Below are 21187 nucleotides of genomic sequence, written 5' to 3' on the forward strand. Positions count from 1 at the left end.
GTTCATTAGATAAGTAACTTTAATACTTTTATCACCACTTTACTGTAAGAGACTATTTGTCAAGTGTTTATATTTTTTATTTTAATTTGACTGAAAGTATTTTTGAATTAGTTAACCACAAATTGAGTCAACTTTAAATATGAAATGAGTAAACTGTGTAAGCTAGAGTTTTATTATCCAAAAACATTAAACATTAAATTACCTTCATTTATGTATTTTATACATATTTTGACTCTGTCCCGTATCCCGTCCTAGCAAGTGATAAGAATGTGAAGTGATAGATTTGTTAATTAGCTTGATTTAATCATTCCATGATGGAAACATCACACCGTACCCCATAAATATAAACAAGTATTATTTGTCAATTAAAAATAAATTTTAAAAATATTTTAAAATTAATTTTTAAAAACCTTGATCATTTCCTCAAAGAATGTGGTTTTGTGAGAGTGAACTGGGCCAGGAATTGGGAGTTGTTAACCTTGCTCCAGCTCTGTTGCTAACTAGCCAAATATTTGGGCAAGTCACTTATCATAGATTCATTAAATTTGGTTTTCAGATGACTTTCATGTTATCTGTGCCAAAATATTACTTGACTTTTAACTATTATACAAAATCTCTGCCAGACTCTGCTTGGATTCCTCCGGTGAAATCTCATTCAATCTCTGTTATTAAAATAAAAGGCTTCTCTGTGTTACATTAACAGCTATTTCTCTAGTTTCAAACTTTCAAATAAACCGCAGTACTTAAAAGTCTTACTCCTGAAGATTAAGTCTTAATCCTGTTTCATGTGACAGTCCTTCAAATGTTTGAAGATTGCTGCCATGTCCTTTTTTATTTTAAGAAATAATCCGTTTATTTATTCCATGAGTTTTACTTGAGTCACAGACATTGTGCTTGGCACTGGGTATCTGGAGATAAATATGGTCCAGCCTTCATGAAATTAATAGTTACCATGATTTGGTCTCCCATCATTTCATTCTGGTGGCTGTTTTCCAGACCAGATTATGAATTAGACCCCAGAGTATTTGCTCAGAGAGGCATATGTCTACACTCCTTTGTTAACGCCTATTGAATTGCATTATCCTGACTCAGTTTATTCATCTTTTAAATGATCTAGTCAGTAACAAGGTTCTTTCTGCCTCTGGTTTTCCGAATTCTATGAAATCTAGATTAATCACATTCTAATTAAAGGGGACCATCTAGATTAATATTCTGTAGTAAAGGAGACATCAGATATTATATTTTCTATTTGTCAAAAGCTGGTAAAGCAGTAAATAATGTGTATACATTTTAATAGAGCCAAGTAAGCTATTCAGCACTTTCTTTGTGCAATATGGTTCAGTCACCAGGTGTCATTCAAATATTCACCACGAGCCATTTCAAGTTTAACTTGTGCTTTGATAGTCTATTCTCATAAGCTGCTAGGAACTCTATAAAAATAGAAAGTCCACATAGGCAGTAATCTCCAGTCCGTGCTTTTCTCCACAGTATTCAAAGCCACTTCCCATCCTCTAACCTTTAATTTAACAGAGAAAGCCTGTTACAATAGAGCCATCTTTGTCCAGCTCTGCAGGCAGCTTCCCCTTTGGGTCACAGAATGCCAAATTCTGTAACAGACAGGTACATCGGTTATTGTTGCTCTGGGATTGTACAAAAGACAGTCTATTTACCAGCTGGAAGAAAAGGGTGTGCATTTACACTGTCATGAAAACTTTCTCCTTGAGACTGCAGTGACAAAAGTACTGGTTATGACAGTAAGGTGGGGCACATATAATCCTGTTTTTTAAAAAGTCTTTAAAAATCTTTCATTCATAGAGTCTAAGAAAAATAAATAGCCCTTGCATGTGAATCCACACCTTACGAAAACAGCATAATAAACTGCAACCTAGCTCTCTTGTAATACAGGTAGTGGGTTTTTATGGTTTCATGTGAGCAACAGCTTTTGACTTAAAAAAATATAGAAGAAAAATAACTGTCTTTCTTCATAATGCAATTAACTTTAAGATTTGTTCAGAGGCAGAGAGAAATGCAAGCATCAAAGCTGGAAGCTGGAGAATGATCTCTGAATCTCTGTAACTGAAAGCTGGGGGAAAGGTGCCACATTTCCACTTTATGTGCAAGCCTTAGAGATACATTCAAGAAAAAAGTCAAGTGAAGAAAGACCAGTGCCCTCAAAAAAGGTTCTTCACTGGGCGTGGTGATTCATGCCTATAATCCTAGCACTTTGGGAGGCCGATGTGGGCAGATCACCTGAGATCAAGAGTTCGAGACCAGCCTGGCCAACGTGGAGAAACCCCGTCTCTAATAAAAATACAAAAAAAGTTAGCCAAGTGTGGTGGCACACATCTGTAATTCCCGAAGCAAGAAAATCGCTTGAGGTGGGAGGTGGAGGTTGCAGTGAGCCGAGATCGCACCACTGCACTCCAGCCTGGGAGACAGAATGAGACTCTGTCTCAAAAACAAACAAAATAAAAAACAACAAAAACGGTGCGGAGGGGCTCTTCTTTTCCCCTCAGTCTAAATATCCAGTCACCAAATTCTATCTCATCTCTCTCTAGTATTTCCCTCATGTTGGACCACCATGGCCTAATTTCCAACACTGGAATTACCGCCACAGCTTCCCACTTGACCTTCTGCTTGCAGTGTTGACTCCTCTGTCCCTTCTTTGCAGGAAAAAAAACAATTTTCCAAATATGCAAATCTGGTCATATCACTTTTCTGCTTTGTTTTTCCGTATGTCGCTGAAGCACTCCGGGTGAAGGCTGAGTTCTTCAGAGAGGCCTGAGGAACACTTTAGCTTAAGCAATCAACACCACCTCTCAACCCACGCTTTCATGTGGTCACGTGCAATTACATTACTCCTGAAAAAGCATGCTCTCTTCTCTCCTGTGATTCCATGGCCTCATAGATGCTATTCCCTCTGTCTGGAGAGCCTTGTCAACTTGTCTTCTTGACAAAATACTTCTCATTAAGATTCACCAAGATCCTGGCAGCTGTACGATTCTACCATTGACTTCCCCTACCTGGTGTAAGGGGTCTTTTCTCTCTCTCTGTTATACCTTACAAATACCCCAATGATCTAACCTTACTGCTTAGGTTATTCTGTTACATATTGGTTTAAGAACTAAACGGAAGCACCTGAGAACAGGGCCTGGCCTGCTTTTTCGTGTAGCTGGCAGAGTGCTTGCGACTTTATAGAGTCACAAAATCAATTAATGAAATAGCACACAGTTTCAATCTCAATAAATAAATGACTACAAATCTAGTAAGTCAATATTTTTTCTTATAACTTTGTAACTGAGGAATATAAACCAAAACAGGAGAATGAACAAATAACATCTTAGACCTGTGACACCTGCTGGCACAAAATGACTCATCCTCTGTATTTTGGAAAATATTTCCATAAACAGAATCACCATAGTTGTGCTATGGAAGTGTTTCCAAAATGGGGTCCTGAGTCAAAATCTAGCCCACAATAGTTTAATACATGTAATACTTTTAATTTTTATAATGTATTGCCAACTCTCAAAAGTCAGGGTGATCAACATAAAATCTAGACTTTTGGCAAGTTATGAGAAATAATGGAGGGTTTGATAATGCTGGACCCACATTTTCTCATAACAGCATCACAAGGAGCTTCATGGGCAGCTAACTCATGCCTGTCTCCTTCAAATGGGCACAGGATCTCCCAGGCCCTGTTACCATTGCTGCCAGCCCTTACCACACTTGTATTTTACATGCCAGATATTTATGATTTTGTAGGCCCCAGAAAAACGTCTACAGATAGAATTTTAGTTTACAAAATAAACCAACTGCAGATATTGACAATAAGAGCGTAAGTGTAGTTACACTAAGAGCCACGGCTCTTGCATACCATTTCAATCCATGTTTCAGAGAGGTCGACTTACCTTAAAGTCTCTTGTCTAAATTATCAAATGATTTCTTCAACTCACTCTCTAGATTGCTATTTACGACATCAAATTTAGATTGGACAAGAGAAGACAAGTTACATCTCAAAAACCAAAATGAAATCATAGCCTTTGATGGCTGCACTCTGAAATGTATTAGACACGTCCAGTTGCTTCAAAGCAATGCTTGTTATAGACACTTCTCAACGTCAGCTGTCAAGTGTGGGTTTCATCTTAAGACTGACCTTGGACCGTGGAGGTGCTCGGATGTACCACTTGCAATCAACAGCCTCGCTAGCAGTAGCTTTGCCTTCCTTCATAATTTGTATAGACTCCACAATTCCTTCGGAACCGCCCATCTCAAACTCACACGCTAAATAACAAAATGCCAAACAAACACACAAAAACGGAGCTTGAATAATAAACCAAAAGTGTATTTCATAGCAGAAAACAAAGTCTTCTGAACAGTATTAAATATCTATTTTACCAACCTGGTAATGGTTTCAAAGCTCCAAGGTCCTTAAAGTCAGGATCTTAAAAATTGAGAAAAAGACAATTAGTCCCATTCTACATTTATTACTTACAGTGAGTTTAAGTTATTTATCATTAAGTTTTCCAGAAATCTACCTTAAAAAACACATTAGGGAAAAGTAAAAAACACATTAGGGAAAAGTAAATGATTAAATAAAAAGTGCATAATGATGTTGGGACTGAAATGTTAATTTAGTATTACTACAAGGTTTTTCTCAATACAAAAAACACTATTTAAATTTTTTTTCTAATGCCTTTCCTGCCTCTAATTATCAAATAAAAATCTTACTCATTACCTATAACTCCATAGGTAGAATAATTAAATTAGTCATATTATCTATCCTCTATAACAGGAGAACAGACGTTTTTGTAAAAAGTATCAATAGGTAATTCAAGGTTTGAGGCAATTTCCCTTTGTTCTAGATACTATCCTCTTTTCTGATTCAAAATATTCTGTAAAGTGTAGTAACACAGTTTTTAACTAGAATATTTGAAGCACAAATTAAGATGTAAAATCTAGAACTCCTCTCCTTTGGCGGACTGAACAATCCTGTTTTCATCAAATCTTTCTCTGCAACATTTCATACTATGCTAACTTTCAAAGCATTCCTCAGTATTCTAGTTTGTCAACTCAACACCCACTCTCCCTGTCTTCCTCGCAGTCAAGCCCAGGCTCAGCCACCTGTCCTCTGCTAATTTATGTATTTCAGGGGAAGCCTGCTGTGTCATGAGTCTAAGATGTTTTCTAATGGTGAAAAGGCAAAGTGGGGGTCTCGTTCTTGTTCCTGGAATTGATTTTGAGGTAGGTATGCAGCCAATGAAATATAAAGATGAGCCTTTTAGAGAGCTTCTGAGAAAGTTTTCCTCGTAATAGAGACAAGGTGTATACCATTTTTCTGGCTCTCATTGCAGTCATGCTTGTATCGGACGTCGTGGAATCATGCGTTAGCCAACTTTCAATGTTGAAGGTGTTAATATAATAAAAGGCTAACTGTGATGAAGAGCATAATGACTATGAGTCATTAATGATGTCACTGAGACATTGTATTATCTTATTTGATGCACATATATTCCTATTTTTAAAAAATTCTGAATTTTTAATTATTACAAGTACATAGTCATTGGATATATTTATGGAGTAACTTATTCTCCATAAGTTACATTCTTGGAGTTGCATTTCTCCAAGATTTATACTCTTTTTTTTCCATTTGACAAGTAAAAATTGTTTATGTTCATGGTGTACAATGTGATGTTTTGATACGTGACGTTTTGATATATGTGTACATTGTCAAATGGCTAAATCAAGATAATTCACGTCTTACCACATGTATCTATCATTTTCTTGCATAGTGAGAACACTTAAAATCTACATTCTGGCAATTTTCAAGTATATTATAGGATATATTGTTATTAACTACAGCTACCATGGTGATCTCTTGAACTTATTATTCTTCCTGCCTACCTGAAATTGGGCTTTTTGCTTTTTGAATAACACACGTCCTTGTAGCCCTTGCCACTTTGAGTTGAGGTTTCTTTGACTTATGAGTGGGCGAAGGCATCAATGACTACATGTTAAAGGAACTTGGCATACGATTTAAAAGATGACTGGGAAATGCATTTGTTCCTACTACCATGGCATCAGCTGTAAGTTACAATCTTTTAAAGTTAGAAATATTTTATGAGACATTGCTCAACAACAATTCAGGACTGCAATATAAAAAGTAGCATTCTTTCTGGAAGAGATTAGTTTAGGATATTAAGACTACGTGTGCTAATATGTATGTGGGTATCTAAGTGCGTTTCTTTGTATGTCTGTGTGCCTGGATATGCAAAACCTGTAACTACAGGCTGATTGTTAGTTTAGTTATCTTCATTAAAGGTTTTGTTGTTGTTGTTGTTTGCTTCTTGCTTTGTCAAACAGTTATGTGAACTGCTCTGTTGAAACTGAGAGGCTTGGATTGCTACAATCTGATCATATGAACTATTTAGACTTATTTTACTACAGACACTATTAGAAAGTGTTAATAAATTTTGAAACAAGTTACAGATGCCTTTGCAAAGCTGTTTTTAAAATAGATTTTTTTTGTTTGTTTTTTTGAGACGGAGTCTGGCTCTGTCGCCCAGGCTGGAGCGCAGTGATCTCGTCTCACTGCAAGCTTCACCTCCCAGGTTCACACCATTCTCCTGCCTCAGCCTCCCAAGTAGCTGGGACTACAGGCGCCCGCCACTGTGCCCAGCTAATTTTTTGTACTTTTAGTAGAGACGGAGTTTCACCATGGTCTCGATCTCCTGACCTCATGATCCGTCCTCCTTGGCCTCCCAAAGTGCTGGGATTACAGGCGTGAGCCACCGCGCCCGGCCGAAAATAGATTTTAAAAAATCTTTTTAGAAAAAAAGGAAAAAAAAACTGTAAGCAATCTCCATTTAAAAAATAGGGACATCATAGATCATTTGGAACAAGATGCTTCCTAGTAGAAATTTGTTTCTTCATCTAAATCAATAGATATATAGTTATTATTTCAATAAATACATATTTAACACCTACTGTGTAATAAAAGCCATGTTTTGCATAGCACTGCTAAAATTGGTTGTTCTCATCAAGCAGTTCCATTGATATTGACAAGATTCCCTATTCTTCCTTATTTTTCCATCAACCTTGATGACCTGTTATCTAGACTTTTTGTTATTCATTGTATCCTTCTTACTATTAAGAATAATGCTTAATTATATTCATAATTAATACTCATTATCTCCTTCTTGATTAGAAGGTTTCAGCCTTATGTGCCTGTTTCTACAATTTTTGTGGAATATAGTTGATACTCTATTTTCTAGTTTGAAGGCTAACATTTGTCATTTTTATAACTCATGCCAGGCAATGTAGAGAGAAATGCCAGTTCTGGGAACTGAAAATTTATTTTTGTCTTTGTATTAATAGTGATAGCACTGATAGTTTAAAAAACAAAACTTTATGAAAAAAATGTTTTTGTAATTCCATTTGTATTAATATCACAATAATGGATGGGCCATATGACCTGCAAAAACAAACAAATAAACAATATTCTTTTTTAAAAACAGCCTAAATTGAACTAAGATTATAAAGATTGATTGGCCAAGGTTGTTTGTGGATGAGGACATGAATTATTAGGCAGACACACGATAACGTTGGACTTGGTAACTAGTCTTCCACTCTGGATCTGTCCCTCAGCCTGTTCTCTACTTAGCAACCTAAATAAACTATTACACATGTAAATCGAATCATGGAACTCTCCTGGTTTTCCACTGCCCTTAGAGTAAGACCATCAATCTTTATAATGCATCTTAACGCCCTGTGAGTTCTTGACCTTGGTCCCTGGCTCCATGCTGCTGGTTCCACTCTCTTCTCTCTGATCACATTCACCTATTTCTCATACACCCCAGGCTGTTCCTATCCTCTGTACCAGGAACTTGTCCTTTTGTCTCTCTGCAATAACTTTCTCCTGGCTTTGGAGAGCTGGATCTTTCTCATTCTTTGGTTTTTGGTTCAAATATTATATTCTCAGAAACGCCTTCCTTGACAATCCTCTCTAAAATAGCAACGTCCCTAATTTTACCTCCCTCATGTTATTACAATTACAATTTACAATTATTTAACTATTTGTCTGTATATTTTTTTACCGTCTACTTCCACTGCTCCATAATCAAGAACTTCTCTAAGGATGGGTTCCCCAACCAGCTGTGGGCCACACAGCAGGAGATGAGCAGAGGCAGGACAGCAAAGGAAGCATCAACTGTATTTACAGCAGCTTCCCATGGCTCACATCACCACCTGAGCTCCTCCTCCTGTCAAGTCAGCAGCAGCATTAGATTCTCATAGGAGCTTCAACCCTATTGCGAACTGTGCATGCGAGGGATCTAGGGTGCACGCTCCTTATGAGAATCTAATGCCTGATGATCTGGGGTAGTGATGCTAGCACTGGGGAGCAGCTGGAAATACAGATGAACATTAGCAAAGAAGTTTGACTGCACAGAGACCATAATAAAGCAATCACTTCCAGATGCATATCAAAACCCTATCAGTGAGTGGCAAGTGTCACAAGCGGCATCTGGTGACAGGCTTTGTAGTGGCAAGTGAGTTAATGTACTTCAGTTGTACAGCTGCATGTGGTGGCAGGCTTTAAGTCAAAATCCGCCACTTATTTTAGTCCGCATGTGACACACCCATTATTTTATTTACTTCCATCAATGCGTCTTTCCCACACTGCACACTTGTCTCAGTCACAGTTTTGGTAAGCCCACAAGCTAAGCCTAGCCAAAATGAGTAAAAATCAAATGTCATCGGAGAGCTTCTTTGAAAAGGGTTAAAGACCCAATGATGAGACAGCAGAAGACCCTAAGATTGCCAACAAAAAGAAAGCTGCATTTAAAGAGAATACCAAGAGTCCTACTTAAATTACAGGTTCATTGCAACAGATAGTTCACATTCTCCAAGACCACTCTGTACAATGTGTGGTGACCAGTTATCCAAGGAAGTCATGAAACCAACAAAACTGCTTTGCCACATAGTGACCAAGCACCCTGCATTAAAAGACACAACTTCAGCGTTATTTAAAAGAAAACAAAAACATAATGAACAGAAGCAATTGTTGAAAACCATCACTTCATCAAATGTGTCTGCACTGAGAGCATCATTCTTAGTGGCTAACTTCATTGCTAAAGCTAAGAAGCCCTTTATTATTGGTGAAAAGTTGATCCTGCCTGCTGCTAAGGATATCTGTCATGAACTTTTAGGAGAGGCTGCAGTTCAAAACACAGCTACTTTCAGCTAGCACCATAACTAGATGAACTGATGAAATGGCAGAAGATACTGATGCACAATTGTTAGGATTAATGAGTCACCATGGTATGCAATCTGGGATGACGAGTCTACCAGTACTGACAACGAGTCAACAATATCTGTTTCTGTATGGTGTATTTTTCAAGATGATGTGCATGAGGATACGTTATGTGCACTTTTATTGCCAACCAACATCACAGCTAGAGAACTGTTCAAGTCTTTGAATGATTACATATCAGGAAAACTGAATTAGTCATTTTGTGTCTGTATATGCATGAATGGAGTGGCTGCCATGACTGGACGGCTTTCTTGTTTCCCTACCTTGGTCAAAGGTAGGGAATGTGAGTCTATGCACTGTGTCAGCCATACAGAAATGCTGTGCTGGCTAGCCAAAAAATGTCATGTGTACTTAGCATTTTTCAGGATGTGATTAAAACTATCAACCACATTAAAGTACATGCCCTTAACTCACATCTGCTTGCGCAGCTCTGAGGAGTTGGATGCTGAACACACATGTCTTCTCTTACACACAGAAGTGAGATGGCTTTCCCAATGTAGATCACTGGCCAGAGTTTTTTAGTTAAGAGAGCCACTCCAGAGATTTCTTGTAGACAAATAGTCTCCCTGGCAACACATTTCAGTAACACAGATTCAGTTACAAAACTTGCTTACTTGTGCGACACATTCAACCTGCTCAACAAACTCAATCTGTCACTTCAGGGGAGAACAAAAACTGTGTTCAAGTCAGCAAATAAAGTGACTGCATTCAAAGCCAAACTGGAATTATGGGAGTGAACAACGGAATTTCTGACATCTTTCAAACATTAGCAGAGATTTTGAGAGAGATGGAGCCAGGGCCTTCTTTCTCACAGCTGGTGCATGAGCACCCATCTCAGCTTTCAGAAGAGCTTGAGTGTTACTTCCTAACCAAAGAAGGCCCCGGAACTGGGAAGGAATGGATCTGTGACCCATTTGTGAATAAGCCAGGTGAATGGACTTTAGCCATGCTAGAAGAGGATCAAATGCCTGATATTGCAAATGATGGTGACTTTAAACGTGTGTTTGAGACAACTTCAAATCTCCATACGTGCTGGATTAAAGTCAAGGCAGAATATCCTGAGATTGCCACAGAATGCACTGAAAAGCCTGCTTCCACTTCCTACATCCTATCTTTGTGAAGCAGGGTTTTCTGCAGTGACAGTAACCGAAATGAGATCAGAGAGTAGACTGGACATAAGCAACACACTTCTGATGCCACTATCTCCCATAACCCCTAGATGAGACCGTCTAGTTGCAGAAAACAGGCTCAGGGCTCCCAGTGATTCTACATTATGGTGAGTTGTATAATTATCTCATTATATATTACTATGTAATAATGATAGAAATAAAGTGCACAATAAATGTAATGCACTTGAATCATCTGGAAACCATCCCCCACCCCAGCACATGGAAAAATTGTCTTCCACAAAACCGGTCCCTGGTGCTAAAAATGTGCTATAAGGGACTTTGTGTCTCTTGACCCTCTCTATCTAGGACCTAGAACAGTGCTTGGGCATAATAGGTGATCATACTCAGTACTGAATTTAACATGTCTCTTCCTGTAAATAATACAGTTACTTTACCCCAACTTGATTTTATTATATGTTGATATAATTGCAAGGCTTATACTTAACACTTGTCCAATCCACAGGTTCTCACAGTAAATGTATCACATTAGACACTCTATTAGAGAGCAGCCTCATGTTTAACAAACCTGTCTTTCTTTTTCTTTCTAGGCTCACATCTAGACTATGTTTCCCAGCCTCCCTTGCAATTGTATGTGGCCATGGAAGTGAACTCTGGCAAATAAATGCAGACAAAAGTTAATTTTTACTCGCAGGCTGGGTGCTTACAATCTTCTTTAAAAAATTCCTACAGACTCTGTCTTTCTTCCATGGTCTACCTCAAAAGCCATGCATTGGAAATGCGAAACTCCGTCAGCTTCATTTTATAAATGAGTACGTGGAGTATAGACAGCATTTTCCTTGACTCTGATTAGACTCTTCCTCAGTAAATAATATACTCCAATTATGTGAAATTACTAAAGTTTTTTAAATGTTATTGCAACTATTATTCTATGAGCCCAGGAGTGTTCCTTTATCCAAAGGTCACTATTTTCATAATAATACTAAAAATCTATTTGTCTTTTTGCATTCTCATTTTCTCAAAAATATACGGAAGAGTTTTCCAGATATTACATGACAATGGCACACTACTATGACTAATAAAGTATGTGAATGTATTTTCAAATATTCTAAGTTTAGGGTGTAAATAACATACATTTTCAGAGATTAGCTTAGTTTGTTCTCCGTGATTTTACTGGACACTTACTGGCTATTTTCAGTTCTTAATACAATCCCAGTAACCCGATTTTTGTTCAATACAATGTTATTCTTAAACTTCAAAATGTTTACTGAGGTTACACAGAAGCACAGCAAGAATTAAGTATGTTTGCTGCTTTATTTTGTAAATCTATTTACTTATCTATCTAATTTGAAATCTTTTGTATTTAACTTTTATCTAGATATATAACAATTATACGGCTTAGTAATATTTCCTCTTAAATAAAAGAAAATATAGTTATACCATATTTTTCTTATGGTGAAGGATGGACATCTGTCTTAGAAAGGGGAGATGAAAAGACTCACTGTCTCCACCACAGTCACACCATCTATTTCTAAATTATGAAAAAAGATGAACCTGACATTTCAAACAGGTTTCTTATGGAAGAATCTATTCCAAATAAAATCAAACAAACCTGTAAATAAAAATGAAAATATGAGAAAATGTATCTTTTCCTCCACTTTATAGATGTTAATAATTTCATAGGACTTAGAAAAATAGGCATTTTTGAATGATTTTATTCTGAAAGTTTGATTGAAGAGTTGAGAAAATAAGAATTCTAAAAAAAAAAAAACAGTATATTTTTAAACGTAGACATCATTAGCTCTCTAAAAGCCAAATGTCACTTTTCAAACTCAAAATAGTGAACTCATTGAAATGTCTCACAGTTATTGTGAGACCTTGGTCGAGAAGCTCACAGGAGGCTAATGAAACCATTTACACCTGCCATTGCTGAATGCCTACTGGATGAAAAGTCGGTAAAAGAAACCAGGACACTGCCACTTTCCCATCACACAGTAACTTGCTGATTAAAGTTTCAGCTTAGACAAGAAGACAGAGTTAATGCCATGTCTGGAGAATTTTACTTTTGTCTAAAAAATGAACGGATGTACAAACTTGGCTGGGCTTCCTTAGTTTGCTTGAATTCGCTGAATGTCAGCATGGGCCAATGATCAAGGATCATCTTTTATGTGAATGCTTGACAACAAATGGAAGTAGTGTTGAAATATTCAAATTTTTGGTTAACTTTCCAATCCTACGGTTTATACTGGGACATCTGGATTGATTGACATTTGCATTGATGGTGCAAAAACAATGGTGGAGAGAATTGCTGGTGTCTTAGCAATGAATCAGGACTGTGGCACCAAACCTTAGCAGCTAGTGTTCACTGCATAATTCACTGCCATGCAATTGCACAGCAGGAAAATAAAAAAGAATTTTACTTAACATCATCATGATGAAGCATTAAAAACAATTATTTAGATTCTGAAGTCTAGAGTAACAGTTTTAATATTCTGTAAGAGGAAATGTTAAGTACAGATAAGGCACTTTTGCTGCAGACTGAATTGTTTCCTGTTTTTCTTAAGAACAAGCACCTTGTAGTTGTTTGAATTGTGTGAGTTACTCATTTTTCTCATGGAGCATCATTTCTGCTTGAAAAGCATATTACAGTTGTTTAGATTTGGATGTTTGGCAGATATTTTCTTGAAAATGAACAAAATGAATCTGTTGATTTTTAAGAAAAACAACCGACAATATTTGTTGCCAATGATAAAATTCAAGTTTCAAGGGAAGGAGATGTATTTGCTAGAGTGCACTTGACAGCTTCCCAACGCTGAGAGAATTTTTAAATGAGATTGTTGTTGATGGGAACAAATGTGATTTTTGATTTGTGTCAACATTTAGCAGTTCTGCATAATAGTAATCCAATAACTGCCAAATAAATAATGCATGAAGTTAAACAAGGATGCATGTGGAACAGAGCCCTTTGAAGAGGAAAATACACTAATGGATGTTAATGTAACAGAATACAAAGAAATTCATCAATACGGTTTGATATTCCCTGTTGCAACTAACCTTTAAGAAGCTATCACTTGTTGAGCTTTGGTGTAGTACAAAAGAATAATCACCCCTCCCTGAAAAGGCTCTTAAAATACTCTCCTGGCCAGGAGCGGTGGCTCATGCCTTTAATCCCGCACTCTGGGAGGCCGAGGCAGGCAGATCACCTGAGGCTGGGAGTTCAAGACCAGCCTGACGAACATGGAGAAACCTCATCTTTACTAAAAATACAAAATTAGTCAGGTGTGGTGGCACATGCCTGTAATCCCAGATACTCGGGAGGCTGTGGCAGGATAATTGCTTGAACCCGGGAGGTTGAGGTTGCAGTCAGCCGAGATCACACCATTGCACTCCAGCCTGGGCAACAAGAGCGGAACTCCGTACCAAAAAAAAAAAAAAAGATACTCTTTCCTGCTGTTCCAACTACATATATATCTCTGTTAGACTGGGTTCTCTTCATCTACTTCCACCATAACAACACATCATAACAGATTTAATGCATAAGCAGGGGTGATAATCCAGCATAATAAACCTGACACTCGATTTGCAAAAATGTAAATAATGCCATTCTTCTAATTAATATTTTAATATTCATTAATATCTTCATATTAATTTATATTTTAATATAGTATGCTATTTACCTTAACACATTATTGGTTTATTGGTATAATTTGAATATTACTTAATAAATAGCTATTTAAAATATACTCAGTTTAAATGGCTAATATAATAAATATTGAATGATACAGCCAATAAGCCAAGCATTTTGAGTTCTTCAATAGTTCTTAGGAGAGGAAAGGAGTTTTGAGACTAAAAAGCTGCAGAACGTCTGCCCCGACCAACCTTATCTTTGTATCATGGGTACCTTCTTCTAAAAGAACTCTAAATTACAATTTAATAGCTCAGGCTTGCACGATGTATTTATTTCATAATCCAATGAAATTTCACACTGCTAGCCACATTGCAGATGAACTTTCTGGAAACTACTGTTAACTGATTAGATTATAACTGAATCATATCAGAGGCCTCCTCATTTTATAAATGAAAGAAATAGGGAATTGACAACTTTAGAAAAATACAACTTGTTTTGATCTAAGACCTAAACAGCTTCAGTGCTGTCTCTAGAACATTGAACCAATCATTCCATATTTCTGAGTCTTATTTTCCTTAACTGAAATAAGAATGTTGTTGGTTTAGGTTTTTACAACTCATGTATGCCATTATATCACAGAATACAGTGGTATTCCCAGAACAGGTCATGAGCACACGTCACTTCCTGACCAGGTGACACAACTATGTTTACAAACCTTCTGATTATAAAAATCAGCTTTAATACTGTGATATTTTCAACGCACAGCTCGACTACCTAACAGGATAGTCTTAGAAAACAATAGTTTTCCCCAAATTTCCACAATCTCAGACATCCTGAATTATGTCATTCATCCTTAATATTCTCCTTTTTACTGACAAGTAGACACTGAAAGTGGCATCAAATAAAATCTTTACTAATTTCCTAAGTTACCTAACAATCTCTATTATTTGCATTGGCTTTGAATAACTGGCCAGAATTTTTAAATTGTCTTGACTGTTACATTTTTATCAAATAAATGATAAGTAAAATGTGGAAAAACTAAAGCCATGTTACAGTGTTGTTCATAAACCTCAAAAATTTAATGAGCTAACATGCAGCACCAATATTTAACTGCAAACCATTTATTAATTGGCCATAGAAAAATGAATCCAGTATTTTGATAGAAATTAGTATTTATGTTACAAAAGAGAATGCAGACTTTAGAATCAATTTGTATTTTTAAGCACTCCACTATAATCTTCAAGAATTTTCCTATAATACAAACTAAAATACAAATGAATCAAATTTTTATGAGACAGAGTTCTCAAATATTCTACACAAATGAAAAGAATACAAGTTTGAAATATATCTACGTGACTAAAAGGGTTTTTTCTGGTTTCTCATTTTAATTCTTATTTTCATTTAGTTAGATCCACGAAAATAGCTAATACCATTGCAATAATTAATATGTACCAGATATTATTTTAATTACTTTAAATATAGTAAGTCCTTTATTCCTTAACACTGTATGATGTAGATAACAGTGCTATGCTTGTTTTATAGCTGAGGAAAACAGGCAGCACAGAGAGATTAAGTAACTAGCCTAAGAATACAGTTGTAAATGGTAGGACTTGAAATCAGAATTAGGCAGTCGACCTCCAGATTTCCATATTGTCACATTCTATTTGAATTCATTACAGACTTGTAAATGCTAAGAATGTCATCTGGTCTACTGGGCCTGTCTGGACTCTCCATGTGGCTGTTCTTCCTTCTCTCTTGATTTGGGAGTGACGTAACCTAAAGCAATTTTATATATAAAACAGATAAAATACAATTTTTTTTTGGCAGGGGAAAAATATGTTTGAGTATGATGTTGGAGCTATGGTTAAAAACACAAATATGTTCAAAATGTTTCAAAAATGAATTTCAGAGATCAAGATCCACGTAAGTAAATCTTTTTCATTTGTCCTACAGAGGAATAAATTAGAGCTGTGTGTTGAAAGCTAATGATGAGGTGTACTAAATGCTGCCCCAGGAAACAAGTATTTGTGTAGGCTTCGTGGGGGGTGGGTTGGTAGACGACATTACCTACGACGTCCTTTTCACCCTGAAGCCCAGTAATTCTGTGATTAGTTCTTCCAAGCATATGATCATATTTGGGTTCAAGCAAGTTGATCAAATTTACAAACCCTACAGTTAACATTCAATGACCAATCACTTTATTTTAGGTTTACTGATGGATTGGGTGTGGGAAGTGAAGGAGAAAACAATCAGGGACAATGTTTAGTTTTCTCATTAACATCAACAAAGACTCCATGAGCTAGGAAGTTATTCAACTTCCCACTCTCAACCTATAAACTCATCCAGATCCACTGTCATTACTGCCTATCTACCAACACTTTCTCTCTCTAAATCTAATTCTCCACCTACCGTATGGATTTTCTAATCACTCCTATACATAGTAGTTGGCATATCAATTATCTTCCTCCAATTCTGAAAAATTAATCTCTCTAAATCGAATTCTCTACCTATCTTCTGGATTTTCTCATCACCCCTATTCATAGTAGTGAGCACATCAATTATCTTCCTAAAATTTTTAAACTACCTTCTATTATCTACAACCTTTCAGACAATAAATCTGCTCAAGTCCCTTCTTAGCTAATAACACAACGCAAACTCCTCCTTCACCTTGCTTCCCACTGTCCACTCACTCTTCCTTGTTCTCATTCAATTCCCAGATGACTGACTTCCATTTCTTAGACCTGCGATCCATAATCAATCTTCACATCCAATCTCCTACTCACTTTTGAAAGTCCCATCATGTTTGTGTACACATCTTTACTGAAACAATGTCTAATTTGAAACTAACCACACCCTTCAATGGGGACATTCTTATTTCCATCCTTCCATACTTGTCTGCAACAGGTGTTGGACCCCTTGTTTTTTACTCAAGGTTGAAAACCAGAGTGTTTGTAGTTTTTGAAATCATTTGAACAAACTTTAAGTGCCATTTTAAATATCAATGGCAGAAAAATCTTAACAGCAGAGTAAAGAATAGCTTGCATAATCATATTGTTTTAATACTCTGAGTTAATTCACTCGTCTAGAAGCAGCATTGCTCTAGTATAAAATTCATATCACCATGTTTTAAACTTCTTTTAAAGGTATACTCTTTTCTCTAAGTATGGGGTTGACAATTATAGCTTCTCTTTTTGAGTCTGTCTACCTAATGGTTTTCATGTGGGCACAGAGTATATATAACCTGACTTTCTTTTCTAGTTTAACATAAATTTTATTCATATATAAATTTAAGAAACCAAAACTTACAAGATTTACAGGAAGAAAATTTTCAAGCCCTTTAAAATATTATTGATATGTGCTGGGCTTGTAAAGCTTTTTTGTTCCCTTATTTTATTTATTTAGCTGTAATTTGAAGTTTCCTCATGGTGCGTGTATTCACATTTTTAAACAAATTGAGAAAACGTAACTCTTATAACACGAGTACACAGAAGTTGGATTTTGTTTGTGTTCACATTAAGTAGGCTTTTACAATGTTTACTTCTGATAGATAGTAACAAGGCAATACTACTGTTCTACAGAGAAAATATGCATTTACTAAACATAATCATAGAAAGATGTGGGGGATAGAGTGAAGAAGAAATCATCAGACGATCAAAAATGGGCAGAAACAGAACAATGAAGACAAGAACACACACACACACACACACACACACACACACACACACACCCATACTGTCCAAATGCTGGAGTTTGCACATTTGAATTAGCTGTCATAGAATAAGTTTTGTTGTTCTTGTTGTTGTTGTATGTTGCTGTTGCTGTTGTTGTTTCTGTCCAAGGGCAACCAGGGACGCTCTTGATTGGTTATTAGCAATATCCCTGCCCCTTAATTCTCTCAGAATGCTGTTATTTGCTCATCCTAAGTCACACAAAGAATACATGAGCCCATCTCCTGAGCCATCTTTTTCACTAGAACTGGTTTAATAGGGCATTTCTTGTTGGCAGAAATGTGGTGCCAGTGCTATTAGTGAATAAAACGCCTCCATTATTATCCTCTTTTCTCAATTATGCCACATTCACTGTTTTCCCACTATCAATTCCAGCTTATTGATAAGCACAGAAACCACTGGCAATTAATCAGGAGGAGGGAGAAACAGCAGGCTACAGAAGGTTCTGGAGCTGATGCCAAGGCAGGTGATATTAGACTGGGGCTGAGCTTTTATGCCCAGAAAAGTGAGAAGACATAACTTCTCCTAAGAACTACATGAGTGTCTAGGAATAACGAAGTGCAGTCTTTGGGACCCAGGCTTACAAGCGTGACATAGGTTGCAGAGGAGGAAAATGCTGTCTCTGCTACACACAGGTTGGAAGCAGTGGTGGCACTGCAGATTTGTGTGTGTGTGTGTGTGTGTGTGTGTGTGTGTGTGGAGTGTGTGTGTGGTGAGGAGATGGCATTAATCTCACGTTGTCCTCTTCCATCCCAATTATGCCACTGTAAACTAAATAAATGGTGTCAATGAAAATCAAGAAGCAAAATATTTTACAAGAAAAGTTATGCTTTCTCAAAATTATTTAAAGATGTACGTTTAAGCATCATGGCAAAGCCTTGTGTGTTACAGCCACATAAATAAGATAAGGACACAATAAAGCTGTACAAGCCATGCTAACGGAGCTTCAAGACAAGACCTTTTGTGCTCCCAGTGAATTTGATGAATATTAGACCCTTCTAAATAGAGCTGGAGCAGCCTCTTGCTGGAAACTTTAGCAGTGTTCTCTGTTGGTGCCCTTGGCAAGGACACTGGAGTTTTCATGCCAGGCAGCAGTGGGACACATGGCAAGTGGAGGATCCATCATGGGACCAAGAGAGCAAATGCAGAATGCCAAGTGGTGCCTTGCCAGGAGCCTGGCACGGGTGCATGCATGAGGCACCTCTTGGTCAATCCTGGAGAAGCTGTTTGCACTGCATGAATTTCTGTCAGTCTGGAAAAGAGGTAAAGTTATCATATTCTGTAAAAGTAAATGTGTCCTTTTAAGTTATGATTCTCATTCCTTTACCAAGGGCAGAATCTGTAAGTTCTAGCCATCACTCTGCTCGTCACATCTAGAAAACTCAGCCACCCACTTTTTATAAAAGCCACACATAAGGCATATACTGACGCAGATAGGTAGAAATTAAAAAGGCAAAAAAATATATGCCAGACAAGCAATAAATAAATGATAAAAAGCTTTTGTAATGATATTATGTTAAACAAAACAGACTCAAAACCCAAATGAAAATAATCAAAAGTATGTCAAATACTTAATTTCTTAAAAAGCCACCGACGAGGAAAATTTAATATGCTGAACCTGTATGTAACTAACACTTATTGACAGAATTCTACCTTCTAAGGCATCAATTGCCTCGCTTCTAAGAGACTGGGGTAAAAAATATCAACCAGGCTTGGTACAAAGCAGTAGTATTTGCACGTATCAACTAGTTAATAGAGTGGATATGGATTTGCTAAAGTATAAAATGTTATGTAAAAATAAATTATCCCATGCATGTACAATTCAGATTTCGAACCTCTTCGATACATGAATAAAAATTATCTTAATTCAAAGAATATCTCAAATATGATTACTGCTCTATAAAATTTATTTACAAATCAAATACTGTTGTTGTAGCCTCATTGGCTATTCTGCACACTGCACTTATTTTTATTAGATAGCATTTAATGTTGAGATGAAAGAGAAGTTAACTGTATGTCTTCAAATGCCTGAGATCAGTAGGAAAATACCCTCAGAAAATTTCCTAACATAGTTTTTTCTGCATACTGCAAATATCAAAGTGATGATAGATACTTGCTACATGCCAAGATAGCCACTTTTCCTTTAATATATAGCATCATATGCTAGGTGCGCAAGTCCCTTTTACGTCTATTTAGCTCGAAAATAATACCTTCAGTGTAAATAATGGTAAAACCAAGCTAATCTAAATATGTATGAAACTTTTTCTAAAAAAATAAAACATTGTGTCTAATGTCACTGTTTGCAATTTAAGAGGTCATCTCCTGGAAGTGTACAACTATCTGAGAGCTTAAAGGATTTATTTGCATTCTACAATATCAAGTAATCTTGGTCCATTTTAAATACAGACTAAGTACATGATTACCAAAATATTCAAATCTTCCCATCTCTATTTCTTGTATTTGTCTCCTTTGTACTTATTTTCCCAATTATTACAGTAATTTAGGTTTGAACGGGCATCTGAAACCAGTAATTTTAATGGGGACTCTACTCGAAAATGGAAGTAATCATGTCAGCTGGCTAGTTTGGGACCACATTCTGCCTCTGAAAGAATTATCTCTAGAAAGCATAGTCTCCATCTTGGGGAATGTGAAGAATGATTATTCCTGGACCTCCAGACCTAACTGCCAGGGTGCATTTGGCATGCAAACGTATCATCTCTTAAGGACTGTAAGAATGGAGACCACTTACAGCCCATATCAAATACAACTGGAAATAGTGCTAAAATGGAAGTCTTAGAATTTTTAACAGTGTTATACCACTTCTTTCCACTGGCATTTAGAAAATCTGTAATTTTGAAAAGGCACTGCATTACAAAAGCACTCTGAAATGGTGCACTTGCTCCTACAATTCTGCTTAAGACACAGCTGTTTATGAGATACCTGCTCAATCTGTAGTTCCTCGCTCGTTTTTCTGTCATTCAAGAACAAGAGCATGGAAGGTGATTTCATTAAGAGGTGAGAAAAATAATCCGAGGCTTTCCCAGAGTAATGGTCTGCAGCAACATAAATCAATATCATATTTTTTAGGTTCGGTGATGTTAGAAGGAAAGAATGGGTTTTTCTTATTTAGTTAGAGAGGAAGATTTATGGGATGCCTTCTGCTTTACTGCTTTTAGACTTTTCATTTTGTTCTATCATTAACCTGAGCTGGAAACTGCAAAAACAAAATAAATGTGACTACTTCCTCACACTTTCCCTTCATCAGAAAGATACCAAGAGCTTGCAATTATTCTTTGTAAAATCTCTACTACCTCCTTCCCTTTCCATATCCGCCATGGTGTTCTTTGTCACGGCCTTCCTCACCCTCAGGCTTCACAGTACTCACCGTCTCCAT

The 21187-nt window shown here is 36.7% G+C and overlaps 1 protein-coding gene across 11 annotated transcripts in view; it reads right to left on the reverse strand.

Annotated features, from left to right (window-relative positions):
- Nucleotides 1–21187, reverse strand: part of NETO1 (neuropilin and tolloid like 1) — a 125674-nt gene that overhangs the window by 47650 nt on the left and 56837 nt on the right. For 8 of the 11 annotated variants that reach the window (NR_148694.2, NR_148695.2, NM_001201465.3 and 5 more), the window contains exons 5-6: nt 4400–4441; nt 4154–4281 (exon numbers count right to left, since the gene is read on the reverse strand). Coding sequence is in view for 9 of the 11 variants with exons in the window: in NM_001201465.3 (NP_001188394.2) it covers nt 4154–4281; nt 4400–4441 (170 nt within the window). In the remaining 2 variants the exon portion in view is untranslated. Of the gene's footprint in view, nt 1–4153; nt 4282–4399; nt 4442–9724; nt 9877–15170; nt 20847–21187 lie in introns of those variants that run through there. The other 3 variants (NM_001354018.2, XM_047437876.1, XM_017026022.2) reach the window with 3 other exon arrangements.

This window comes from Homo sapiens, chromosome 18 (genome assembly GCF_000001405.40).
Source record: "Homo sapiens chromosome 18, GRCh38.p14 Primary Assembly".
Lineage (NCBI taxonomy): Eukaryota > Metazoa > Chordata > Mammalia > Primates > Hominidae > Homo > Homo sapiens.